Source organism: Homo sapiens, chromosome 7, assembly GCF_000001405.40.
Source record: "Homo sapiens chromosome 7, GRCh38.p14 Primary Assembly".
Lineage (NCBI taxonomy): Eukaryota > Metazoa > Chordata > Mammalia > Primates > Hominidae > Homo > Homo sapiens.
This window is the reverse complement of record NC_000007.14, coordinates 65,373,156-65,401,136: the sequence shown is the minus strand read 5'-3', so window position 1 is coordinate 65,401,136 and position 27,981 is coordinate 65,373,156. Positions and strand designations below refer to the sequence as shown.

The 27,981-nt window shown below is 39.4% G+C and overlaps 1 protein-coding gene across 5 annotated transcripts, besides 3 other annotated features; it reads right to left on the bottom strand.

Annotated features, from left to right (window-relative positions):
• On the bottom strand, positions 1-27,282 carry ZNF92 (zinc finger protein 92). Of its 5 annotated transcripts, NM_001287533.2 has the most exons (5): positions 27,137-27,282; positions 13,109-13,235; positions 12,236-12,331; positions 11,163-11,284; positions 1-2,796 (listed from the first exon to the last, which is right to left on the bottom strand). In NM_001287533.2, exon 5 carries the CDS (start codon positions 2,792-2,794, stop codon positions 1,262-1,264), a length of 1,533 nt encoding a protein of 510 aa, NP_001274462.1. In that variant the 5' UTR covers positions 2,795-2,796; positions 11,163-11,284; positions 12,236-12,331; positions 13,109-13,235; positions 27,137-27,282; the 3' UTR covers positions 1-1,261. The 5 variants fall into 5 exon arrangements, with proteins under 5 accessions (NP_001274462.1, NP_689839.1, NP_001274461.1 ...); NM_152626.4 differs by lacking the exon at positions 11,163-11,284; NM_001287532.2 differs by lacking the exons at positions 11,163-11,284; positions 12,236-12,331.
• Positions 26,852-27,251: an enhancer, noted in NCBI's record as "active region_26071". NCBI's record gives its function as "activates an Ori minimal core promoter by ATAC-STARR-seq in GM12878 lymphoblastoid cells {active_cell/tissue: GM12878}" and the evidence as "EXISTENCE:reporter gene assay evidence [ECO:0000049][PMID:35858748]".
• Positions 26,852-27,417: a biological region, named in NCBI's record as "ReSE screen-validated silencer GRCh37_chr7:64838633-64838903".
• Positions 27,147-27,417: a silencer, noted in NCBI's record as "fragment chr7:64838633-64838903 (GRCh37/hg19 assembly coordinates)". NCBI's record gives its function as "represses an EF-1alpha promoter that drives an FKBP-Casp9 reporter gene in an ReSE screen in K562 erythroleukemia cells {active_cell/tissue: K562}" and the evidence as "EXISTENCE:reporter gene assay evidence [ECO:0000049][PMID:32094911]".

The window sequence follows — 27,981 nt, the reverse complement described above, 5'->3', positions numbered from 1 at the left end:
TTAGCATGCTAAAAAAAATGTTTAATTACAAAATTAAGTTCACACACAATCTAAATGTTTTAAAGTACTGCATTTTATTACATAAAAGCACAATCAACAAAATGATAATTAATTTTAAAATGTTTTTTTCTCACTATACTGCAAAAGAATGTTAGTCTGAACATGTACCTCAAGTAGCACTTAATATTCTAAGTTAATCACAAAGAGCATCTCTACATTTTCCTCATGCATCTTGTATTTTAATTTTCTTACTCTTCCACAGAAAGGGGCATAAATAATGCCCACCTATAAAAAAGAATCTCTCATATCTCTGATTCAGCAACAACAGATCACTTGCTTTCACATGTGAATATAATAGGAATGAAGAAAAACATGAATTTGAGAGTTAAATTACATCAATTGCTTTTCAAAAAATCTGTAATTTTTTTCAAGAAAAAAGTATACTTTGAATGTAATTATAAATCTCCAAAAAATCTTCTACTTCTTTTAAAGTTATATATAAATAACTTACCTAACAATTTTAGTTTTGGATCTCCTATACTCAACACTCTAATTTAGTGTAATGTCTGAAGTATCAGTGCCTTATGCCTTATGATTTCTACTGTGAATTCTGATATTTACATAGACTTAATTTGGGATTAAATATTTTTCATATTTACTGCATCTGCAAAAATATATTTTAGTATGAACTCTCTGATGTTTTCCAAGCTGTAGTTTTTGAAAAAATGTTTTTCCATATTTATTACATTTGCAGGGTTTTTCTCCAATACAAATTCCCTGATGTCGAACAAAGTTTGAGCAACTAATGCTTTAGGGTTTTCCTCTGGTACAAAATGTGTACAATAAGATCTATCATAAAACTAAAGGTACTACAACCCTCTTTCTATTTGTAATGTTCATCTTAAGAATACTCTTCCTCGTATTAAAGGCTTATATTTTCTGAAAGATTTGACGGTAATTGCATTTTATTAAGTATGAACTGATGTTTTTACATGTGAGCAGATATAAATGGCTTTTCCATATTCTTTATACAATTTTTCTCAAGTATAAATGCTTTCCTGTGCAATAAGGTGTGAGGATTGGTTAAAAGTTTGCCACATTCTTCATACTTGGAGGATTTTTCTCCAATATAAATTATCTTACCTACAATCAAGCGTGACAACCATTTAAAGTCCTTGTCATATTCCTCACATTTCTAGGGCACCAATATGGTTTATGTTTAGAAAAGTTTGAGGTGTAGTGAAAATCATTGTCACATCTTTCAGGTTTGTAGTTTCTCTTTAGTATAATTTGAGGATTTGTTAAAGGCTCTGCCACATTCATGTTTGCAGGGTTTCTCTCCAGTATAAATTATCTGATGTGTAATAAGGGTTGAGAACTTGTTAAAGGCTTTGTCACATTCTTCATATTTGTAGGGTTTCTCTCCAGTATAAATTATCTTACGTGCAGTAAGGTTTGAGGACTGGTTAAAAGCATTGCCACATTTTTCACATTTGTAGGATTTCCCTTCAGTGTGAATTATCTTATGTTTAGTAAAAATTGAGGACTGGTTAAAGGCTTTGCCACATTCTTCACATTTGTAGGGTTTTTCTCTAGTATGAATTATTTTATGTTTAGTAAGGGTTGAGAATACACTAAAGGCTTTGCCACATTCTTCACATTTGTAGGGTTTATCTTCCATATGATTTCTCTTATGTTTAGTAAAAGCTGAGGACCAGCTAAAGGCCTTGCCACATTTTTCACATTTGTAGGGTTTCTCTCCAGTATGAATTATCTTATGTTCAGTAAGGGTTGAGGACTGTTTAAAAGCTTTGCCACATTCTTCACATTTGTAGGGTTTTTCTCCCGTATGAATTCTTTTATGTTTAGTAAGGGTTGAGGACTGGTTAAAGGCTTTGCCACATTCATCACATTTGTAGGGTTTCTCTCCAGTATGAATTATCTTATGTTTAGTAAGGTTTGAGAACTGGTTAAAGGCTTTGCCACATTCTTCACATTTGTATGGTTTTTCCCCAGTATGGATTATCTTATGTTTTTTAAGAATTGAGAATACTCTAAAGGCTTTGCCACATTCTTCACATTTGTAGGGTTTATCTTCCATATGAATTCTCTTATGTTTATTAAGAATCGAGAACTGGTTAAAGGCCTTGCCACATTCTTCACATTTGTAGGGTTTCTCTTCTGTATGAATTCTTTTATGTTTAGTAAGGGTTGAGGACCGGTTAAAAGCTTTGCCACATTCTTCACATTTGTAGGGTTTCTCTCCAGTATGAATTATTTTATGTTTAGTAAGATTTGAGGACCGGTTAAAAGCTTTGCCACATTCTTCACATTTGTAGGGTTTTTCTCCAGTATGAATTATCTTATGTTTAGTAAGGGTTGAGGACCAGTTAAAGGCTTTACCACATTCTTCACATTTGTAAGAATACTCTCTAGTATGAATTTTCTTATGTTGAGTTAATTGTGAAAGCATGCAAAATGATTTGCCACGGTTTTTACATTTGAAAGGTTTCTTTCCAGTATGTCTTATCTTATTTCTATTTACATTTGGAAATTTATGAAAGACTTTCACATATTTATCACACTGAAATATCTTGCTGTCAGTAGTTGTCAAACACTGGTTAAGTCCATTATAACCTCCTTTGTACACCTTACATGCATCCACACTTTTATGGTCTTTTCTTAGCTGTAAATTCTCATGTCCATATTTTCCATATGTTCTCAGTATCACTTTTTGGAAAGAATCTTTTATGCTGTGCTCTGGCCAAACATCTTGGGCAAAATGAGAACACATAACTGAAAAAAATAAAAATAACAAGTTACTTCACTTACTAGACTCAGATGAATATACTTTACAAATTTAACCTATAAAATTGTACAAACTACAACATAAGCAAGATGGCATAGCAAAATGCAAGCCCTAATTCCTTACAGAAATATAAATGTAACAAAAATATACTGACCAAAATACATTTGTGGAAAAGCTATAAATGAGTTAAATGTGTACAGTGCCCCAGGTGAGAACAATGCAAAGAGCTACATAGAAGGAAAAGAAAACTGTGTTACATTTACCCAACACAGCTCTTCCTGCTCCTCAATAACCTAGTGTCTTCAGCAACAAATTGCCAACTCCCGGTTTCTTTTTAAAAGACAAGAAAAATACTGGCACATACATCTTTATTTTTGGCCTCTAGGGGCCTTTCAAGACACTGGTTTCTGTCTCCCATGCCATAAAGTGCTGAAGGAAATGGTGGTATACTTTGGAATGACAGTTTGTCTGCTGAGACCAAAGGTAAACATTACAGCAGCAGAGAGAATGCAGCAGCACCACAGACAGCGAACACGTGTAGCAACTGATTACCGACTTAACAAAAAACACAAATGAACTCCTTTAACTAAAAAGTAAACACAAAATTTCAGACAAGGCACATCCTAAGAACATGTTTGAGAGACTCCCGGAATCTCTAGCCAAGACAATTGGTTTAAGACTATGCCAGGACAAGGCTACATAATAAAGATTGTAATAGGCAGCTTTTTTTTAATGTCCAAATCTCAATCAAACATTACAATGTATACAAAATATTAGGGCAACATGGCCCTGTCAAAAAAATATAAAATTTTTAGAAAGCAACCATAAAAAATAAAGTTATAAAGAAATTGAAAATAAACTGAATAATATTCAATGAGTGAAACAGAAACACAGACGATTTCTGAAAATCAGATAAATGAGGATAACAAAAATATTCAAAATATCGACACCCCCTCAGAAATTGTGGAGGTAAAAAATACAAAAAGAAACTGAAAAATAAAACATGAAGAAGCTAGACAAACTAGGATACACAAAAAGATACTTATAACAAACACATATATAAGCACAATTTCAGAAGTTACAGACAAGAAGAGAGTCTTGGGAGCTGCAAGATAAAAGTAATGCATCATTTATGTGCATACTCTTACGAGATAACCAGTGAACTGTCAACAAAAATTTTGCAGGCCATAAAGAAACTGTGTGATGTAGTCAAAGTCCAAAACAAAATTATAACACAGAAGGTAAAACTTACTGGCCACCATCAATTAAATCAATATATTCATGGGAGAAATCTTAGAAGAATATAGAAAAAAAAAAGTAGTACAGAGGATACTTGAAGATAAAAAAGGCTGAGAACTTTCAAATTTTGACGTAATAAGAGAAAAAATATTCCTAACCAATAACTTGGTTAGAAATTGTTTTACTTTAAAAACAAGAAAAAAATAGATTTTCCAAAATAAAAGGTAAGGGTGTTTATTATCCCTTGCACAGTCCTACAGGAAATGCTACATGGTGAGCAGGCACCATGGCTCATGCCTGTAATCCTACAGCTTTAGGAGGCCAAGGCAATCAATCACTTGAGACCAGGAGTTCAAGATCAGCCTGAGCAACATAGTGAGACATTGCATATACAAAAAGAGAAATGCTAAAATGACTCCATTATGTTGAAAAATAAAATAATGCTGCACAGCATCATAAAACCATATATAAATATAAAGCTCTCTATTAAATGTAAATATAGACACACACAGAATTCTTTACTATCATAATGATGGAGCATCAAACCCTTAAAGTTCTCCTATAGAATATGAGAAACAAAATATAAATCTGAATAAATCTGTTAATAGAAACACAATATAATTTGTAGTATTAGTAACAAACTAGAAAATGTTTTAACTTTAAGATGTTTTATATAATCTTCATTTTTCAAGATGATTACAAAGATAATATTTATAGAAACTATGCAAAACAAAAAATAAAGCAGGTCACTATGAGATTAAACAAAAATTCAAGGAGTAAAACAGGAAATGAGAAAAAACATATCTAAAAAACACAAGAAACAATAACAATGAAACTGGTAATAGTAACATCATTTCTTTAAAAAATCATTTTAAATATAAACTAGTTAATAAAAAGAAATGTAATCCCAGGACTTTGGGAGGTCAAGGTGAGCTGATCACTTGACTGCAGGAGTTTGAGACCAGCCTCAGCAACATGGCAAAACCGTCTTTACAGAAAATACAAAAAACTAGCTGGGTATGATGGCACATGCCTGTAACCAGCTACTTGACAGGCTGAAATGAGAAGATCATCTGAGTTTGGGAGGTTGAGGCTGCAGCTCATTGCCATGATCACACCACTGCAAACCAGCCTGGTTGACAGAGTGAGACCCTATCTCAAAAATAAATAAATAAGAAAGCATACAATATACTGCCTAAAAGAGATCCATTTTGGCACTAAGTCAAATAGGCTGAAAGTAACAGAATGAAAAAGATCTATATCTATACAAATTGCAACCACAATTGGGTGAGGCAGTCATAATTATATCAGACATATATGCTTTAAGTCAAGTACCAGCATGAGATAAAGACTGATATTATATAATTGTAAAACGGGTCAATTTACCAGGAATCTATAACTACCATAACTGTCTACTCTTTTAATAAACTAGCTCTCACTTGAATTGATGGAGTGTAAACTTTTTGATTACCAAGAGGATAGTGCCAAGCCATTCATAAGGAATTTGCCCCCATGACCCAAGCACCTTCCTCCAGGTCCCACATCAAACATTGAGGATTACATCGCAGCATGAGGTTTGAAGAACATGAACATCCAAACAATATCATAGACCAACTAGGCTTAACAGACATGTACAAAACTTTCTAGTCAAAAGCAAGGGAATACACAATATTCTTATTTGCAGCTGGTGTATTCTGTTAGGACACATACCAAGTCTTATTAATATAAGAATACCAGCTGGGTGCAGGGGCTCATGCCTATAACCCAACACTCTGGGATTTCAAGGTGGGAGGATGACTTAAAGCCAGAAGTTTGAGGCCAGCCTGGGCAACACAGTGAGAATCTGTCCCTACAAATGATCAAAATATTAGCCAGGCATGGTAGTGCATGTCTGTAGTCCCAGCTGTTCAGGAGGCTGAGGAAAAGGATCACTTGAGCACAGGAGACTGAGGCTGCAGTGAGACAAAATTATGCCACTGCACTCCAGCCTGTCTCAGAAACAACAATAAATAAACTTAAGACCAAAATAATAAATGGTATGTTTTCTGACCAAAACTGAAAGAAACTAGGAATTAAAAGAAATGTGAAAATAAAACACATTCTTCAACATATTTTTGCTCAAGGGTCAAAAAACTTCATTTTGGGCCAGGCACAGTGGCTCATGCCTGCAATCCCAGCATTTTGGGAGGCCAAGGCGGGTGGATCACCTGAGGTCAGGAGTTTGAGACCAGTCTGGCCAACATGGTGAAACCCCGTCTCTACTAAAAATACAAAAAAATTAGCTGGGCGTGGAGTCAGGCACCTGTAATTGGGAGGCTGAGGCACGAGAATCGCTTGAACCTGGGAGGCAGAGGTTGCAGTGAGCCCAGATCGCACCAGCCATTGCATTCTGGCCTGGGCAACAAGAGCGAAACAACGTCTCAAAAAACAAACAAAAAAACTTCATTTTGTTAAGATGTCAATACAACCTACAGTGGTAAAGAAATTCAACATAATCTCTATAAAAATACTATAGCACAGTTTTTAACAGAAATATTGTCTAAATTTTTAAAATTTGATTAAAATCTATAACTATCCAAACACCCATGAAAAAGAACAAACAGCCATTATACTTCCTGATTTCACAACATATTAAAATCTACAATAACAAAAACAATGTGGTACTGACACAAAGACAGATAAAGAGATGAAAGAACAGAATAGAGAGCCTAGAAATGAACCCTTCTATATATGATCAAATGATCTTCCAAAGTTGCCATGAGCACACAATAGAGGAAAGATAGTCTCTTCAAAAAATAATGGTGAAACTGGACATTAACACTTATAAAGTTTGATCCTTTCCTTGAACCATATACAAAAAATATTTTAAATAAAATACTTAGACATAAAAAAAACTAACAAATCTCTTAGGAACAATATAGAGGAAAGACATTACATTGGTCTTGGCACCACTTATGATATTAATGCATGAGCAACAAAGAAAAGAACAGAAAAACTGAATTACGCTATACTTCAAAATTTTTACACATCAAAGAAAACATTCAAGAGAGTGACAACGTCCCCTAGGAAATAAGTGAAAATGTTTGCAAATCACATGTGATAGGAGCTAATATTCAGAATATATAAACAACTCTTCAAACTGAACAATAAAGTTGAATAACTTGATGAGAAATGAAGATATGAAGAACAGAAATGAAGAAATAATTGAACTTTATCATATAAAGTTTATCATATAAAGTATCATATAAAGTTCAATAATATTGAATTTTAAATAATTGAATCTTTATCAAGAGATATATATACATGGGAAAAAGCATTTGAAAGGACAGACAAAATTACTAACTTATAGAGAAATGCATAAAAAGCACAATGAAAAACAAAATCACCTCATACCAGTTAGAATAGCCACTATACATTTTTTAAAAGGCACCAAATCTGTTGATGCAATGAAAATAAAACCCATGTTATTTTTTGGTGAAAAACAAGGATGTAGCCATTATTTTAAAATATTATATACATGTTTCTCAAATAATTAAAGATGGAATTGTTATTACTGTATCCCATTTATGAATCTATATCCAAACTATGCAACATAGGATCTTAAAAATATATTTGAACATCTATGTTTATTGTACCAGTATTCACAAAAGCCAAAAGGCTGAAGCAACCCAACTGTCTTCTTGATTTATAAACACATCAAAAAATATAACATACAAATACAGTGGAATATTTTTCAGCCTTAAAAAAGAAAATTGTCACATTTTAAGATAAACTTTGAGAATATTTTGTCACCTGACATAAGCCAGTAACAAAATGATGGATACTGTGTGATCCCACTTATATGAGATATCTTAAACAGTCACACTCATAAAAATAGTAAGTGGAAGGGTGTTTGTCAAGGGCTGGAGAGAAGGTAAAATGGGCAGTTATTGCTTAACGGGTACTGAGTTTTAGTTTTACAAGATGTAAAATTTCAAGAAGTCTTTTGCATAATGATGTGAATATAGTCAACATGCCTGAAATGTACAGCTTTTTGGAGACAGGGTCCCACTTGTCACCCAAGCTGCAGTGCAGTGGCACAATTAAGGCTCACTGCAGCCTCAAACTTCCAGGCTTAAGTAATCCTCTCCCCTCAATCTCCCAAGTAGCTGGGACCACAGGTGACAACCACCATGTCAGGCTATTTTTTTGAAAAGTTGTAGAGAGAGGGTCTCCACATGCTGTCCAAGCTGGCCTCAAACATTTGGGCTCTGGCCGGGCACGGTGGCTCACTCCTGTAATCCCAGCACTTTTGGGAGGCTGAGGTGGGTGGATCACCTGAGGTCGGGAGGTGGAGAACAGCCTGACCAACATGGAGAAACCCTGTCTCTACTAAAAATACAAAATTAGCCAGGCATGGTAGCACATGCCTGTAATCCCATCTACTCAGGAGGCTGAGGCAGGAGAATCACTTGAACTCAGGAGGCGGAGGTTACGGTGAGCTGAGATGACACCATTGTACTCCAGCCTGGGCAACAAAAGCAAAACTCCATCTCAAAAAAAAAAAAAAATGTGGGCTCAAGTGATGCTCCTGTCTTGGCCTCCCAAAATCTGAGGATTACAGATGTGAGCCACCACCATGCCTGGCAATGAAATGTAAACTTAAATAGATTTAAGATGGTAAATTTTAGGTTATGTGTTTTTACAACAATTATTTTTTAAAAGAAAAACTAAAAAAAAAAAAAATAGAATTACAAATATTTCCAAAAATTACCTTCAAATTACAAAAATGTTTCTCTTACCCAAAGGAAATTATACAATATTTATCATTAAACACATGGTAGAAAGACTATTTCCATGACTACTCACTTAGACAAAACAACCATTGAAAATCAGCTAAGAAAGAATATACACAAGATATGCCATAACCAAAATTAAAGTCATATTAATAGATAAAAACACACACATATATAATCAGACTATGATGGACATATGGCTGACTTATTTCCCAGTTAAACCCAACATTCACTTAAAGTGTACAAACAGAAGTGCAAATTGCTAAAACCGTAAAAACAAGAAACAAAAACTGATAAGAAACCTACACTAAACAAAAAACACTAATATGGAACTGTAAAACATTAAAAGAAATGTTTACTCATAAAACCTGGTTTGCAATATTGATGTACCATTAAAAAGAATTTGTCTAGATAACTGCAATATTTGAGTGTAACTGTGTACTCATGGAAGGCAAGTATTTGAATCACTGGCATGCACTGTATGGCAGTAAAATTTCAGAGAAAATGCAGTATAACCATACATAGAAGATTCTAATAAAAAACTTAATAAGTAAGCATTTTTAAAAATTGAGATAATTTTTATGTTTTAAATATATGCTATTCTTACACTAGATGAAACTGCTGCAATCCAACTATAGAAGCAAAGAATAGCCTTACGTTGCCAAATAAAGAAAAAATTTTTATTTTGCTGAATATGGTTAGTGCCTCTGATAGATAAAACAAATATTTGGGGGATACATTATGTTATTACTTAGATATAGGCTAAAAAGTGGGTGAAAATACTATTCCTTTTTGCCTGCCGCAAACTTAAATTTATAAGTAACTATTTTAGTAATTATGGAGTAAATTATCTAATTTACTTCAGGCATAACATGTAAATTCTAGCATATTGTCCCAAAGGTCTGATTCTAAAGTTACAGACAAATTTGAAATAGAAAATAGAAAGTAAAAATGTATAGGAAGAGTGACATCAGGAAGATAGGACAATAAAAGTTGCCTTATTTTGTTATCCTCCAACAGCAAGAAAATTTGTCAGCCATCCCTCATAAAAAGGCCTTTTGAGAGAGCCAGGCATCATGGCTCACACCTGTAATGAAAGCTTTATCATACATTGAGGTTGGAGATTGCTTCAGGCCAGGATTTCAAGACCAGAATGGGTTATGAAGCAAGACCCCATCTCAAAAATAAGCGCCTTTAAGAGAGCTTTGAGATCCAGGGAGGGAGTTGTGAAATGCTAAACCCAAGATTGAGGAGTGTTGTTTTTAGAAGGCAGGCCCTCATTCAGGCGGCAAACTAAAGGACTCCTGTTCTTGGCTACAGACCAGAAAATGGCCCACCAAACTTGGTCCCACTGAGAATTCTGAACTTACTCTGCAACCATCCCAAACTTCTCCCAGCCACAGTCTGGAAAAGGTCCTGCCCTTCCAGCGGCCTGGAGGAAGACAACCATTTATAGCCATGCAGGCAGGCCGGCTTGCAGACCTTGGCCTTTACTGTGGTCTCTGAAGCAGTTTAATGACTCAGTTCCAACTCTCTGAGCCACAGTTTATGGCCAGTTATATCTACACAGAAACCTACACAGTGGCCTGGGGAAATCCTCTCTGGTACTCAGTGAAAGCCACACTCATCCACATCCTGATACAAGGTCCATTATATGCAGACCCGACTACAGAAACCTGCCCTAGTGTCTGCCCGACAGAGCAAAGTCCTGGAGGATATTCAGTCTGTCTAAAAATAAAATGGAAATTACAAATACCCAAGCCCCTTGTAATAAGCCAGTAAAGGTGGACCCTAGTGTAGACCCAGCAGCCTTGTGACCAAGCTACACCCCTCTCCACTACAAACCCAGAGGGCATCCCATCACCGTGGGAACCCAACAAAAGATCTTTACCTTCTAAAACCAGTTTATAAAAACCTGAAGAGCTGTTTGCTCCTTCAAATTTACAGACACCAATGCAAAACTATATTGTGCCAATGTCAATGCTTCCATTTTAACATAGCACTGGAATTATGTGGCAAAAGAATTTAAAAAATTTAAAAAGCCATTGACATTGAAGACAGATAGGTAAAAAGTTGCTGTTTGTAGATCACATAATCTTATATAGAGAAAATCATAAACATTTAAACATGTCTAAACTAATAATAAATCAGCACAATATGAAATTAACATACAAGTTATGGTTCCATACACTTAAAATAAGCTACATGATATAAAAGAGGAAAAAAACAATCTTATTTGTAATACCATTAAAATAATACATTTCTCCATCCTGGCTAACATGGTGAAACCCCATCTCTACTAAAAATACAAAAAATTAGCCAGGGATGGTGGTTCGCACCTGTAGTCCCAGCTACTTGGCAGGCTGAGGCAGGAGAATGGTGTGAACTCGGGAGGCGGAGCTTGCAGTGAGCCGAGATTGCACCACTGATCTCCAGCCTGGGCAGCAGAGTAAGACTCCGTCTCAGAAAAATAATAGTAATATTAATAATAAATTTCTGGGCTAGGCACAGTAGCTCACACCTGTAATCCCAGCACTTTGGGAGGCCGAGGCGGGCGGATCACAAGGTCAAGAGATCAAGACCATCCTGGCCAACGTGGAGAAACCCCATCTCTACTAAAAATACAAAAATTAGCTGGACGTGGTGGTGCATGCCTATAGTCCCAGCTACTCGGGAGGCTGAGGCAGGAGAATTGCTCGAACCCAGGAGGCAGAGGTTGCTGTGAGCCAAGCTCGCGCCACTGCACTCCAGCCTGGCGACAGAGCGAGACTCTGTCTCAAAAAAACAAAAAGAAAAGTAGTTTAACAGAGTTTCTCAAAATTATGCAGCTATTTGTGTGTCCTCAAAAGCAATGGAAAAGTAGTCAGATTGTGCAGTCTCTTCCTCCCATGAAAAGGACTTTGGCTCTCACTGTAAACTTGAAGAAGATCACCTTAGAAAATTTAAAAGCATTAGACAGAAGATGCCCCTATGTGAGAGCAAAATAAAAGTTTCAGGCTTCCCAGAAACTATTTTTTTTGGAAACAGCTTCCCAAATTACATTTTAAAGACTGAGGCCAGGCGCAGTGGCTCACGCCTGTAATCCCAGCACTTTTGGAAGGCTGAGGCGGGCGGATCACCTGAAGTCGAGAGTTCGAGACTAGCCTGACCAACATGGAGACACCCCGTCTCTACTAAAAATACAAAATTAGCCAGGCATGGTGGTGGGTGCCTGTAATCCCAGCTACTCGGGAGGCTGAAGCAGGAGAATCGCTTGAACCTGGGAGGCAGAGGTTGCAGTAAGCCAAGATCACACCCTTGCACTCCAGCCTGGACAACAAGGTCAAAACTCCGACTAAGAAAAAATGACTGGCCTTCTCCTTGACTTTTGGACCTCTCATTTGTGTTGTCTGTTGTATTAACTGTCACCTACCTGGGGTTTTGTCTACCATCTCATGTCTCTTCAGATTCCAGGGCTCTTTTCCTTGCTCCAGCCAGGTGATCAGGTCTGGCTTAGAGACAGCAATACCTGTTTTATTAAAAATAAATAACATAAATCTTGCTCATATTCTCCAATTACCAACATAGTAATATGCTCAGTAAAGAGGATGCAATAGATTAATCTAGTAAATTAATCCCCAAATACTAATTTATGACAAATATCTAAATATTTTAAATTTGTAGATTTTTTTTTTTAAAGACAGAGCCTCACTCTGTCACCCAGGCTGGAGTGCAATGGCACGATCTCAGCTCACTGCAATCTCTGCCTCCCGGGTTCAAGCGATTCTCCTGCCTCAGCCTCCTGAGTAGTTGGATTACAGGCGCCCACCAACACGCCTGGCTAATTTTTTTATTTTTAGTAGAGACAGGGTTTCACCATGTTGGCCAGGCTGCTCTCGAACTCCTGACCTCAGGTAATCCACCCACCTCAGCCTCCCAAAGTGCTGGGATTACAGGCATGAGCCACCACGCCCAGCCTACATTTGTAGATCTTTAATTTTATTTAATACTGCCCAGTACTACTAAATGAAAAATTGGTGGTAGCAACAATATTTTATGCCAATAAATTTCTGGAATTACCACTAATTTAGAGTGAAGGATATAGATCAGCTCAGGAATGTGGAGAGTTCAGGTCAAAATGAAACATCTTGAAGAAGTTCTTTTCTATACTGACAAATCTCTGTTTTCTTGAAAACTGGGATCTGAAACTCATTTATGCAAAGCATAAATTACCAAAAAACATTTTACAAAGAGGAGAAATGAAACTTTTAGAGCATTGTGTATTGTGTATTGAAGTTATCCTCACCAAGGAAGACCAGGTTTCTGTAGTTCTCTAACATCACATCTCTATATAAATTCCGCTGCGCAGTGTCCAGGCATTGCCATTCCTCTAGAGAGAATTCTATTTTCACATCCCTAAATGTCAGTGGTCCCTGAAAAACACACACACACACACAAACACACATATGTTTACTAAGTGGCCATGGGCAGAATTTTTTATTTGACTTAAGGTGAAATGAAAGAGTAAAGAGAACAAGTTCTGACTTACAGGAGTGACTGAAATGATCCAATAAAATAATTTTCAATACAGAAATATTTTCTAATGTATTCTCTAACTCTGAGAAAAGAGAATGACATAAGATCCATAACACCAGTGTATACATGATACTTTTCTGGATGATAAAGTATAAAATTAAGGGCATGAACACAAACGTACATTTCTGAGTGTATATGTTTCAGATGGAAAAGACATGGAGTTAGAAGTGACCTCTCAAATTTTAATGTGTATGATAAACTGAAGATCTTGTTATGCATATATTTTTTCAGAACATCTGGAATAAAGTCTGAGTTTCTTAATTTCTAAGAAGATCACCAATAATGCCAATGATTTTTGCCCAAGAAGATTATTTTGTCAAGCATCCAGTAAGGGGGAGGAGTGTGGGTTTTCCCAGTTTTTCTGACCCATAAACAAAGACGAGAGCCTTCATTTTCCAAAGACAGATATATGCAAAGAAAACCTAATAAAGAAGGGCAGCTGCCAGATTAACTGTAATGGTTTATGCACATCAGCTGCATAAAGATACTTAATAACTGGCTGGGCCCAGTGGCTTATACCTATAATCCCAGCAGTTTGGGAGGCTGCGGTGGGCGGATCACCTGAGGTCAGGAGTTCAGAGACCAGCCTGGCTAACATGGTGAAACCCCATTTCTACTAAAAATACAAAAAATTAGCCGGGCATGGTGGCGCGTGCCTGTAATCCCAGCTACTCAGGAGGCTGAGGCAGGAGAATTGCTTGAACCCAGGAGGCGGAGGTTGCAGTGAGCCGAGATTGCGCCATTGCACTCTAGCCTGGGGAACGAGAGTGAAACTCCGTCTCAAAAAAAAAAAAAAAAAGAAGAAAGAAAACAGATACTTAATAATCGAGAGAAAAATTACTAACTCTATAGTGAAAAAATCTGTCAGAGAGCTCTTTAACCAAGTGAATCATTAATATCAACTGAACTAGGACAAATTTTTATAATGTGCTGATGAACAGAAGGACACAGCATCACTGCTGGGATATTACTTCCCCAAAAAGTAAATTATAGCCTGAATTTAACCATAAAGAAACATCCATTTTATGCAAAGTTTGAGATACAGATATCTCCCATGTTCTGCAATTTTTAATAGTAATTTTAAATAGTCTTTCTTTAGCACCCTAGACAACATATATCTCCTAATAATTTTCTTCAGAACTTTCTGGGTAGTAAATGCCATCCTGTTTCAAAAAGCATTTTCTTAATCCTGTTCTGCATAGAGCTAATGGAGAAGACAGATGAAACCTCAATATTACATGTTCTCCTTGACTAAGGACCCCAGCTTTTCCCCAATAGGAATCTTGAGTATATTCATCCTCCCATATTCAATAGTCACAAAGGGAACATTTTTAAGATCATAAATTCATGGTGAGAATTCTACATGGCATATAAGAAGCCATGATGTAGAGAAGGCTCCAGTATATAGGAAGAAATATTTGCCTGGGTGCGGTGGCTCATGCCTGTAATCCCAGCACTTTTGGGAGGCCAAGACAGGCAGATCACAAGGTCAGGAGTTCGAGACCAGCCTGGTCAACACGGTGAAACCCCGTCTCTACCAAAAATACAAAAATTAGCCGGGCATGGTGGCACGCGCCTGTAATCCCAGCTAGTTAGGAGGCTGAGGCAGGAGAATTGCTTGAACCCGGGAGGCAGAGGTTGCAGTGAGCCAAGATCATGCCGCTGCACTCCAGCCTGGGTGACAGAGTGAGATTCCTTCTCAAAAATAAATAAATAAAAATTTTTCAGATACTTGACTATAATGAAAATTTTTTACAGTAGTTAAAACAAACTCATTAGGGAGGAAAAGCACAAGTAGAGAAGGTTTATAAGTACTAAACACATGGCATTCCAGGAGGCACAGTGGACACAGCTCTTGATCTGAGACACTTTTAGCGGAAAAATAGCCATTTTTTCCTCTTTCTCTTCCTGCTCTGGGATTCTTTCTCAGATGATTCTCTGGAGAAATTACACCTGAATCTTAAGAATATGGCTTTAAAGGTGTCGGCACCACCTGTTTACCTGCTACCACCACACCCACAGGCAGAAGGTCCAAGACCTGCAGAAAAAGTCCACCCATTTCTGTCCTCTATAACAGAAGAGATTCAGGAAAAATAAGCTGCTCTATGGAGATAATGATATCTCCTTTCCCGTCCTCAGATGCCCTCTGCTACCACAGACACCAACAATTTTTGCTAAAGTAATGGAAATATGGGGCACTCTGCCCTGTCCCTACCAAACCCAAAGAAAACAGGCCTTGTGACCACCCTTTAGTGCGAAGATAGAACTTAACACTCACGAATGTATCTTGAATCCCTCATACTTGATTCTGGCCTCACCTTAGAGTCACATGAGGCCCTTAAAGCAATATGGATGTTTCCAGAACAATAGAACAGAACCTGTGGGGAGGGCACAAATAGAGATTTCTGCAAACTGGCTATGTAATCTTAATCAGAAGCCTGGGCTGATAAACGCTTAGCTAATTATTATCTCTCAAGCACTGATAAGCTTATAAATCACTTGGTGATTTTGGCCCCACTCTATGTAATGTGATTCTGCAGGTTTGAAAATGGTCCATGAAAGGGTATTTTAAACAAGTCCTCTATAGATGCTGATGTTGCTCCCCCTGCGCTCATTATTAGCACTAGTTAGACAAAGCAGGCACATCACAGAATCCCTTACACTCAGCACTCTTGTCAAAATACAAATACTTCTGGTACAAATAAAGACAACCAATCTTCATCCTAAAGTATATTCTTTGTTGGCTCTTTAAAGTTTACAGAGGAAACAGAGGCCAGCAATGTCCAAATAAGTCTGCATTTGGAAAACAACATTTACACATGCACTAATGCAATGTTTATTAAACAGGTACTATGTCCTCAAGAGTATGTTACAGAGTACTGCTAGGAATAAAACATTACGTGATTTAATCCTCGTAACACCCTGGGAGTTGGTTTTGTTTAATAATTGCCAGAATTTAGAAAAAGGGCCCAGCATTTATATTTGTCATTTTTTTTGTGAAAAATGTACAGAATAAAAGCTACATATAGACAGATGAGAGGAATAAAGAAAAGAGTTTAACGTAGTTTGGAGGAATTTTTATTGTGTTTATATTTACTTGTTTGTGGCTTGTGGAGCAACTACTGGGTCTTCAGGAATAGAATAAGGAATAAGTTGCTAAATGGCATGTTTCTGCATGCACTGATTTTAATACAAAATTAAGAAATTAAGGCCCTAAAATATTATTTTATTTTTCCCATTTATCTGCTTTTAGATTTCAAGAAATCCTGAGCAACAGCTCTAGAAAGGCAGCCGAATTCATCACCCAAAACACTTCTCTTTCAATCAGTTCTGTAAGGCTAGACTCCAAGGTGAAGCCAGACTTCAATAAGGCCTCCAAAAAGGGTGAATCTGAACAGAAATGGGGCAGGGAGAGGACACTATGTAGAATTCTGCTCTCTATGCCACTGGGGTATTTCCGTTCTGTTTTTCCTAAGCTTACCTAAGAGAAACTTAAATCCCACAGTTTGTGTAATTTTAATCTTTTTTAGCCACTGCCCTGTCAATTTTATAACATATACTAATAAGCAATTTAAACAAATCTCTTAGGGCTTTCTAGCATAATTGTATTAGAAGATAAATATGTATTCTTAACAAGGTAAAAGAAACAGAAATAATAATAACAACTCTTCTGTCCATAAACATCCATTCAAATGATGACCTCAGAAGTCACAACAATATAAAGAAGCGGCCCAAATGAAGCCCCCATTTTTTGGCGTGACTCATTTCTCTTACACTGAGACAAAAGCAGAATGAACCACTCTTGTCAGCCTAACACAGTTTTACTCTGGACATCCTCAAATGTTTCAAAGATGCCTAGGTGATTGTGAGAGGGTTCTCAGTGATCCTGGGCTGATGGCCCAGTAGTAAGCCAGGCAGTAGAGACTTAGGCTGATTCTAAATAGAAAACAGAACTGCCCTGGTGGAGCTCCAGAACCTGGATTACCTGTCCTGATCAGGTAGTCTTTGGGTAAGAGAAAGGACAAGAATACTCTACTCCAGTATCACATTTTTTACAGGTAGGTATAGTTGTAGTCATGGCTCTGGATACTTTGTGGCCTTGATCTCTCACTCCTAAGATGCTTTGTTTACATTTACAGATTCTGCCATCAGATTCTATTTATACCTGGCACCTCTCACGTAACAGTAACAGGTCACTGAACAAGATCTGAAAAGCTCAAATAGCCACACTCTCAAAGGAGGTAGCTTTAAGATGTCTATGTTGACATCTCACAATGCAGAGAATGCCTCCTCTTGGTTTTCTGTACATTTTCAATCCAAAGTCTGCTCCTGTCTTGCAAATCCCAGGCCAGACATGTGAAGATTCTAGATGGGGTCAACCTGGCTCTGCATTCTTGGGTGTTACAGCAAAAGTACAACCAAAGGAGAGATCCCCTCATAAAGGCTGCTCTGGCACATTCTAAATAATATGTCCTTAATTTCCTCCTTCATAGGAAAAAGCTGAGGAACCACAAATGTAAGTAGACAGTTCACTTGGGCCAAGCTTGAAGATTGTAAACTGGGAGCAAAGATTCAAGTTGCCTGGAATCTAGCAGCAGTTACAAGTGGATTTTTAAAGGCAAAAAGAGATAGAGAGTGGGCTGATACAAAATTGTCAGGAAATCTTACTTATTTACTAAAAACAACCTTGATTACTGATTGACATACATTTCTAAGCTGTATAGGGTGTGGGTTATAGTGTTCAGCGTAGCATTATTAGTTTAATTTATAGCTACTCGTGGCAATAGCAAGCAGTTTCAAGAGATAAATACATAGCTCAAAGGAGAGAGAAAGACACAATTGTGGTCTCGTTTTAATGTCTCTTTGAGCCTTATAACTAAAAGGATTTGCATTTCTCAGATAAAAGGTTTACTGCAAGACCCAGATTCAGAATGTGGAGCCGCTAGTTTAGGTCCTGGATGGGTAGAATAGCAGTAAGTGTTACCTGCACATTTGTGGGCATTTTAAAAAGAGAAGGAAGGGGAAAGTGGAGATTCTCATGCCTACATGTCTACTCAATGCATGCATGTTACTCTAACGGGCCCCACAGTCTCTGAATCAGTTTCAGGTCTAAAGATACAAGAGTCATTGAAAGAGGTAAAATGGTTAATTGCTGTTCTGTGAAGTATTTAGAAATTTGGTCTAGCCTCTCTAGATGTGATTATACAGGACTAGATACCAAATAGGCAGAGGCACGATTCTGCCTGCATATTCAGGGGACAGCATGCATTTTGCAGCACAATCATGAGTTGACTGGAAGCCTGAGACAAAAAGGCCCATCTAGATTAAAGCTTGGTTGGCACCTTATATGTTTATATCATGTGTGGTAAGTTTAAACAGTGTTTGGAAAATATAATTAAAAGGAAAGTTTTCTCCAGCCCCAGAGTAACTCCACAATGATAAAACAGAAAGAAAACTGTTTTATTACACAATTACACCAGAATGTGACACGCATCACAATCTGCTTAAGAGACTGCAAAGACAGAAAGACGGTCACAATAATTAGTCCATAAGTAGAAGAATTTACAGTACCATGTTATACATAGTTCATCCTAAATTCACCTGGCAACTGGGGAGGCCATCCGTGTAAGCTAATTGGCTATATTCAATGACAAAATAAACTTTTCACATCTTCGTGACAGGAGGTAGTTTTGCAATTTGAAGCCAGGTGCCTGCTGAAGGTAGGCTCTCACTCTCCTATAGAAATGGTTGAATATAGTGCTCTCTTTTTGGCTATTTGCATTTTAAAGCAATAGCTCTCTACTCTGAGCACTACCACAGCAACATGATACCAGTACAAAAACAGGCTCAGAGACCAATGCAACAGAATAGAGAGCCCAGAAATAATGTGGCACACCTACAATCATCGTATTTTTGACAAAGCTGACAAGAGAAATGTAGGAGAGATTCCCTGTTTAATAAATGGTGTTGTAATAAATAGCTAGCACTATGTAAAAGATTAAAACTGGACTCCCTGCTTACACTATATCCAAAAATAAACACAAGATAAATTAAGGACTTAAATGTAAAACTTAAAATTATAAAATGCCCTGGAAGATAACCTAGGAAATACAATTCCAGACATAGAAACTGCCAACGATATTATGATGAAGATACCAAAAGCAATCGCCACAAAAGCAAAAATCGATAAATGGGACCAAATTAAACTAAAGAGCATCTTCACAGAAAACAAAAACAAAACCCACAAGAAACTATCAACAGAGTAAACAGACAACCTAGAGAATAAAGAAAAATATTTGCAAACTATGCTTCTGACAAAGGTCTAATATCCAGAATCCATAAGGAACTTAAGCAAGTTTACAAGAAAAAAAAAACCTTATTAAAAAGTAGGCAAAGGACATAAACACACGCTTTTCAAGAGAAAGCAGGTGGGTGTGGTGCCTCACACCTGTAATCCTAGCACTCTGGGAGGCCAAGGTGGGTGGATCACAAGGTCAAGAGTTCGAGACCAGCCTGGCCAATATGGTGAAACCCCCGTCTCTACTAAAAAAAATACAAAAATTAGTCAGGCATGGTGGGGCGTGCCTGTAATCCCAGCTACTTGGGAGGCTGAGGGAGAATTGCTTGAACCCAGGAGATGGAGGTTGCAGTGAGCCGAGATCGTGCCACTGCACTCCAGCCTGGATAACAGAGCGAGACTCCATCTCCAAAAAGAAAAGAAAAAAAAGAGAAAGCATACATGTGGCTAACAAGCATATTAAAAAAGTGCTCATCACTAATCATTAGAGAGATGCAAACAAACAAACAAAAAAAACACCACAATGAGATACCATCTCACACCAGTAAGAATGGCAATTACCAAAAAAGTCAAAAAAATAATAGATGTGCTGGCAAAGTTGCAGGGTAAAGAGAATGCTTATACTCTGCTGGTGGGAGTGTAAATTAGTTCAACCATTGTGAAAAGCAGTGTGACAATTCCTCACAAAACTAAAAACAGAATTACCATTTGACCCACCTCCTAATTAGGTATATACCCAAAGAATACAAATTATTCTATCATAAAGACCCATGCACATGCATCTTCATTGCAGCACTAGTGACAGTACCAAAGACATGGAATTAACCTAAATACCCTCAATGGTAGGCTAGATAAAGAAAATACATTGTGGTTGAGCATAGTGGTTCACGCCTGTAATCCCAGCACTTTGGCAGGGTGAGGCAGGTGGATTGCGTGAGCTCAGGAGTTGGCGACCAGCCTGGGAAACATGGCAAAACTCTGTCTGTACAAAAAATACAAAAAGAAAAATTAGCCAGGCGTGGTCGTGCACGCTGTAGTCCCAGCTACTTGGGGGGCTTAGGTAGGAGGATTGCTTGAGCCCAGGAGATTGAGATTGAGGCTGCAGTGAGCCAAGATCACACCACTGCACTCCAGCCTGGGCGACAGAGTGAGACCCTGTCTTCAGAAATAAATAAAATAAAGATTTAATAAAAACAAAATATGGTACATAAAAATAGTGGAATATTGTGTGGCCATAAAACAAGAACAAGATCATTTTCTTTGCAGCAACATGGATGGAGCTGGAGACCATTATCCTTAGAAAACTAATGCAGAAACAGAAAACCAAATGCATGCTATCATTTATAAGAGCTAAATAACAACAACACATGGAGACAATAAGAGGAAAAACAGACACTGAGGCCTAGTTGAGGGTAGAGGGTGGCAGGACAAAGAGGATCAGGAAAAAAATACCCATTTGGTTCTATGCTTAGTACCTCAGAGACAAAATAGTCTACACCAAACACCCACAACACAATTTTACCTATAGAACAATCCTGCATGTGTACTCCCGAACCAAAAACAAAACAGAAAAGATCCATGGGTGGGGGAGAGTGCACTGTAGATGGAAAGACTGGTTTGTGCTACAGATAGTGGCGTGGGGCTGTCCTCTCATTTATTTGTGTCCATGCAGGCAGATGAGATTATGAACAGGTGGTGCAGAACCCTAGGTTGGTGGAGAAAGCAGGCTGATGCTGTAGATTCAGTGTGGAGGTGGGGATATGCCAGGAGACTTGTAGACAATTTTGTGAGCAAGAAACAGGTTCAAAAATGCTGCGGTGAAATTCCTGAGGGTGGTGCCTAGTCCTGGGAGGAGTGTGTGCACATCAATGTCTAGTGAGTATGTTTGTAAGTGGGTGGGAATCATGTGGTGGCAGCTGTGGGGAAAGGATGTCTGTTATCAGAGCTTCTTTCCTCTAAGTTTTCAGTCCTCTCTCACCATGGCAGGAGACCTGGAATCCTAGGACAACGGGCAGTGTGACAGCCTGTGTACAGGAGAGCAGAGTCTCCCATTCCCAGACACCCAGAGTTCCATTCCAGGCCAGGCCTCCGTGATATCTTTCTTCTGTCCCCAGATCTGTAGATTGGTGAACACCAAGCAATTCTCCAACACCAATTCATTTTCTAACATTTGAATTCTGACACCATCCAGAGTCTGCACGGACCCTGATTCAGGATTCAGTCCCACAACACTGTCTTCACTGCCGATGTCAGTCAAAAACCTCATTGGTCCATCTATTCTTCTTAGCTACTGCTTAAAAACTGGGGACTCCCATAACCTCCCTCCAGTTCAATAATTTGATAGAGCTGCTCACAGAACTCAGCAAAACACTGTAGTTATGTTGACCAGTTTATTATAAATGATACAACCCGGGAAAAGTCAAATGGAAAAAATGTATAGGACAAAAAAAAGAAGCAGGGAAAAATGAAGCACATAGATAATCCTGGTAAATAGCTGTGATTAACAAAATTCTCCATCCTTTCTGTTCTCCAGGAACAGTTTATGGAAAGAACCACTCTTACCATTATGACTTAGATGGTGCTCTCTTTTCTTACCTATCACATAGTCAGATAAAGACTGCACATTTTATTTTTCTCATTTAAAAAATCAGCTGAATTTGGCTTCAGTGGTCAAAAGAAAAATACTTTTTTTTTTTTTTGAGACGGAGTCTTGCTCTGTCGCCCAGGCTGGAGTGCAGTGGCACGATCTCGGCTCACCGCAAGCTCTGCCTCCCGGGTTCACACCATTCTCCTGCCTCAGCCTCCCGAATAGCTGGGACTACAGGCGCCCGCCACCACGCCCAGCTACTTTTTTGTATTTTTAGTAGAGATGGAGTATCACCATGTTAGCCAGGATGGTCTCGGTCTTCTGACCTCGTGATCCGCCCACCTCGGCCTCCCAAAGTGCTGGGATTACAGGTGTGAGCCACCACGCCCGGCCAAAAATACTTCTTAATCAGACTTTACTTATCTCCTTCCCACCAACTCCTGCGCTTTGAGCTACCTTCAGTCTGAGCCAACATACAACCTCACTTTATGTCCCTTCTAAGAATATACTGACTTCAAGGTAAAACATTCTCTCATCTAAAATCTGATTTTTTTTTTTTTGAGACAGAGTCTGGCTCTGTTGCCCAGGCTGGAGTGCAGTAACGCTCAGTTCACTGCAACCTCCATCTCCCAGGTTCAAGGGATTCTCCTGCCTCAGCCTCCTGAGTAACTGGGATTACAGTCGCCCGCCACCACACCCAGCTGATTTTTGTACTTTTAGTAGATCCGCCCACCTCAGTCTCCCAAAGTGCTGGAATTACAGGCATGAGCCACCATGCCAGGCCTAAAGTTTGATTCCCTCCATTTGCAGTTCCCCGCCTACCTTCTTTCTAATCTTGTTTGCTCCTATGAAAGAAAGCCCTTGTCTGCCTAAACTTTGCAATCCTTAAAGATCTTGTAGTTGGTACTTCCTCCTGTTGCAATACTCCTTTGGAATTCAAATGTTTTTACATAATTCTAACTTTGTTTTATTTTAGAAAGTAACTGCCAGGCTGGGCGCAGTGGCTCACGCCTGTAATCCCAACACTTTGGGAGGCCGAGGTGGGTGGATCATGAGGTCAAGAGATGGACACCATCCTGACCAACATGGTGAAACCCCGTCTCTACTAAAAATACAAAAATTAGCTGGGTGTGGTGGCACGAGCCTGTAGTCCCAGCTACTCAGGAGGCTGAGGCAGGAGAATCACTTGAACCCGGGAGGCGGAGGTTGCAGTGAGTCTAGATCGCGCCGTTGCAGTGAGTCTAGATCGCGCCAGTGCACTCCAGCCTGGCGACAAAGCAAGACTCCATCTCAAAAAAAATAAATAAACAAATAAAAAGTAACTGCCTCAAAACAAACTGCCTCTAGAAACTGCCTCAAAACAATGACAGCTTTATCTTCAGTAAGACCCTCCCAATCCCCTTCCATCTTAATGTTAACTCCATCTGCCTGTGGGTCCCCAGCTTTCCAGGGCTCTGTAGCTTCTCTCAGTATAAAGACTTCTTCTATGGCTGGGGTGAGCAGGCTGGGACATCTTCAGGGGAGGCTCCCCAAAAAGAACCTAACTGGGCCTTTAATAACCTCCTTTTGCAGGCTCAATAATAGCCATAGCTTGGAGTCATTGGGCTGAAGCTTTAATTTCCATGTTAGAGTCATTCTCTTGGTTTTTGAAACTAAGTGTTTGAAAAATCCAGCAAAATTACTCAAACACAGTATAAATACGAGGGAAGGAAATTTTAAGGTGCTTACATTTCACACCTCAATAAGAAAAGCAAAAGTATCTATTACCTTCAGACAACAGATTTATTATTTTATTATTTCCATTAAAAATCACGTAGTCATATGGGAACACTTTTAGTAGGTACCAAGTTTAATCTCGTAAAATTTAGCGTGAAACTCAGACATCAAGATAACATGGTATAGAACAGACATATTCGCTGTAACAAATTTACTCTGCAAAGTGAATCTATGTAACTCACCAATTATCTACCATATTTTCTTGTGGAAATGTATTCATTTTCTACAGCCAAAATGGAAGAGAGATTATCTCTATTCTTTTCCTTGGTAGCATTCTAAAAGCTAAGCCTTAGAATTATGTTTGTAATTACCCAGCCATAAAAAACACAAGTGGGCTAGGCGCGGTGGCTCACGCCTGTAATCCCAGCATTTTGGGAAGCCAAGGTGGGCAGATCACGAGGTCAGGAGTTCAAGACCAGCCTGACCAACATGGTGAAATCTTGTCTCTACCAAAAATACAAAAATTACCCAGGCATGGTGGCACGCACCTGTAATGTCAGCTACTCAGGAGGCTAAGGCAGCAGAATCGCTTGAACCTGGGAGGCAGAGGTCACAGTGAGCTGAGATCACACCACTGCACTCCAGCCTGGGTGACAGAGCAAGAGTCTGTCTCAAGAAACAACAAAAACAAGTGAGAAAATTCCTAAACTCATTCTGGGAAAAACAAAAAAGGTAAAAGAATTTTTAGCAAATGGAATATGTGATTAGATATTAATTTTTTCCTGAAACTCACCTCTTTTATGCCCTTTGTAAATATGTCTTACCTTTCAAGCCCTAATAAAATGAAAGTCAAAATAAGTAAAAAAAAATATTTTCAAGGTGACAAACCCAGGAAGTAGCAGTGCTGATCAGAAAACAGATTTGTCAGCAGGCGTGGTGCCTCACGCCTGTAATCCTAGCACTTTGGGAGGCCAAGGCAGGTGGACTGCCTGAGCTCAGGAGTTTGAGACCAGCCTGGGCAACAGAGTGAAACCCAGTCTCTACTAAAATACAAAACACTAGTCGGGTGTGGTTGTGCGTGCCTGTAATTCCAGCTACTCGGGAGGCTGAGGCAGCAGAATCTCTTGAACCCAGAAGGCAGAGGTTGCAGTGAGCCGAGACCACGCCACTGCACTCCAGCCTGGGCAATAGAGGGAGACTCAATAACCACCCTCTCAGAAGACACTATACCCCAGGTGTATTTTACTTTGCAAGTTCTTGTACCATCTCACTGGGATCAGGTTGTTTTTGTTTGTTTGTTTGAGACGGAGTCTCGAGGCTGGAGTGCAGTGGCATGATCTTGGCTCACTGCAATCTCCCTCTCCCGGGTTCAAGCGATTCCCCTGCCTCAGCCTCCCGAGTAGCTGGGATTACAGGCATGCACCACCATGCCTGGCTAATTTTTTGTATTTTAGTAGAAACCGGCTTTCACCATATTGGCCAGGATGGTCTCGATCTCCAGGTCAGGTTTTGTTGTATCTTTTGGAATACTTTTTTTTTTTCCACAAATCTTAGAGAATCCTGGGGACAGAAATAATTTTGGTGTTTTCCTCCCAGTACCAGCATCTGATTGGCTGACCAGCAATGTTTCTCCAAGAAATGAAAGCTGGGTTGAGTGAAGACAATCTTAATATCTCAAGGGGTAAGCTTTTCAAAGGAAGAGTAGCCCAGGAGATGCTTCTCAGCCCCAGGGCATCCACCTGCTCCCTTGAGAAGCTACATTCCATACTTCAGGTTATTCTACGAGAGAAAATGACCCAGGAGCTGATATTTACTAGACACTCTAGCGACATTGCCATGGTAGGTATCTTGCCCCAGACAGTACTAAAACCCAGGACCAGAAAAAGAACTGAAGGGTGGCTGAGAACACATCACCCCATAAAGTTTCCAAAGGGAAAGCAACCATGACCCAAAAACATTCTGATAAGATCTCTGTGCCTAAGGAAGATAAAAAGAAAAGAGGCACAGAGATTTACAATACAATGTTAGGGGATTATTCTTTGCTTTCTTCTCATAGGAAATATTTACAAACAGGAAACAAATCTTTTAAAACGTGCCATCCAATGCTTTGCCAAAAATGATTAATTAAAATATGCCATCGAAAATGTACACTAAAGGAAACACACTTGCTAATGCGAATTAGGGAGGGTAAGTTGGCATTTGGGAATGTCAGAAGGAACTGGAAATTTAGTATTTTACTGCAAGCCAGAATTAAGCTGGAGGAATGAGGGATGGGGGGTAGACTTGAGACCCTGCTTGGGACACATGTGAAAACTGCAGGGGAAAATCAGTCCCCTGTGGATGTGAAAATAATTAAGTGGCAGGCAATTAGATTGAGGTGGCTCTAGTCCCTGGGTTCCTACTTTAAAAAAAATATAATTCAAATGCATTTTTGGCGGGGGGAGGGGAGGGTAAATAACACCGAGGGAACAAAATTCAGGCTTAACCAACTATAAACTGACAATCTCTGATTACATGACCAGGAAATTTCTACCTTAATCATACAAATTAAAAAACGACGTAACTGTACCTAACCAATTATTAAACTTGTTTTTTTTCATTATGCATCTTATAAAAGTGTTTCCTTCAAGCCCCTCCCACGGACCACAAACTACAAATCATAGCTGGGTGCTCTAAAATTCCTGAATCGCTCTTTGATTAAATTCTTCAATATTTTTACCTTGACTCCCATAAATTTTTAATAGGAAAAAAGAGGACCTGAGAACCACACGGACCAAAGCTCTTCCCATTCATAAACCCCGCACCCCGAGTCAGGATTCTTCTCTTTACTATTCTCCCGTCGTCCCTGCACACTCGGCGAGAGATGCGACGCTGCGGGTGCAGAGCTGCCCAGGGAGGGCTCCAGGCCAAAGCACAGTCACTGCGCAGGGAGGAGACAGGACGCCCGGGGTCCCGGCTGTCAGCCCAGCCGCCATCTTATGGCTGAAGGAGACTGAGGGCCGAGCTGCGCCAAGGAGAACTCGGGCCGCGGATCTCGGAGCCGACTGCGGGAAGGCCCGAGGCCCGCCACAGCCACTTCCAATCGGTTCCAGCCAGACCCTCCCCCTCTCTCGGGATGTGGGACCCAGCAGGCTCACCATTTCTAGGCTTCCAGGGGGTCCTGGCGTCTTAGCTGTGAACCTCCAAGTTCTTGCAGGTAACAGGGTCACAGCGGCGAGCCTTTATCAGCACAGGACGCAGAGCAGTGAAGACTAGACGTGGAGCGCCGGCTGCAGCGAGAGACAAAGGCCCCGCCAAATCCCGGAAGCTGTGCTGTCCGCTCCAGTTGCGTGCCTGATTGGATGGTTCCCAGCCCAGCGTTCCTGATTGGATAACGTTTAAGGCCCCGCCCCTTCGGGCCCTGAGTGACGGGAGATGTGATCAGATGCTGGACTGAAGGAAGAGTGACAGCCTAAGCTGCAGCCTTTTCAGACGGGGCTTCCTCCCTGAGCTGAGTCAGGCCCACCCCAGACAGTATTTGCATTTAACCTTGTGAATAAGGCCATATGCATTTATAAATAGTATATTATATGTCTATTCACAAATGCAAAGAATATAATACCAATTATTCAAAATTTTCAGATTTTATGACCTTCCTGGCTTCTGGTTTTGTTGTTTTGTTTTGTTTTTGGTTTTTGTTTTTTGAGACAGAGTCTAGCTCTGTCGCCAGGCTGGAGTGCAGTGGCACGAGCTCAACTCGCTGCAACCTCCGCCTCCCAGGTTCAAGCGATTCTCCTGTCTCAGCCTCCCGAGGAACTGGGACTACAGGCGCACGCCACCACACCCAGCTAATTTTTGTATTTTTAGTAGAGACGGGGTTTCACCATGTTGGCCAGGATGGTCTTGATCTCTTGATCTTGTGATCCGCCCGCCTCGGTCTCCCAAAGTGCTGGGATTACAGGTGTGAGCCACAGAGCCCGGCCAACTTCTGTTTTTTTAAGCA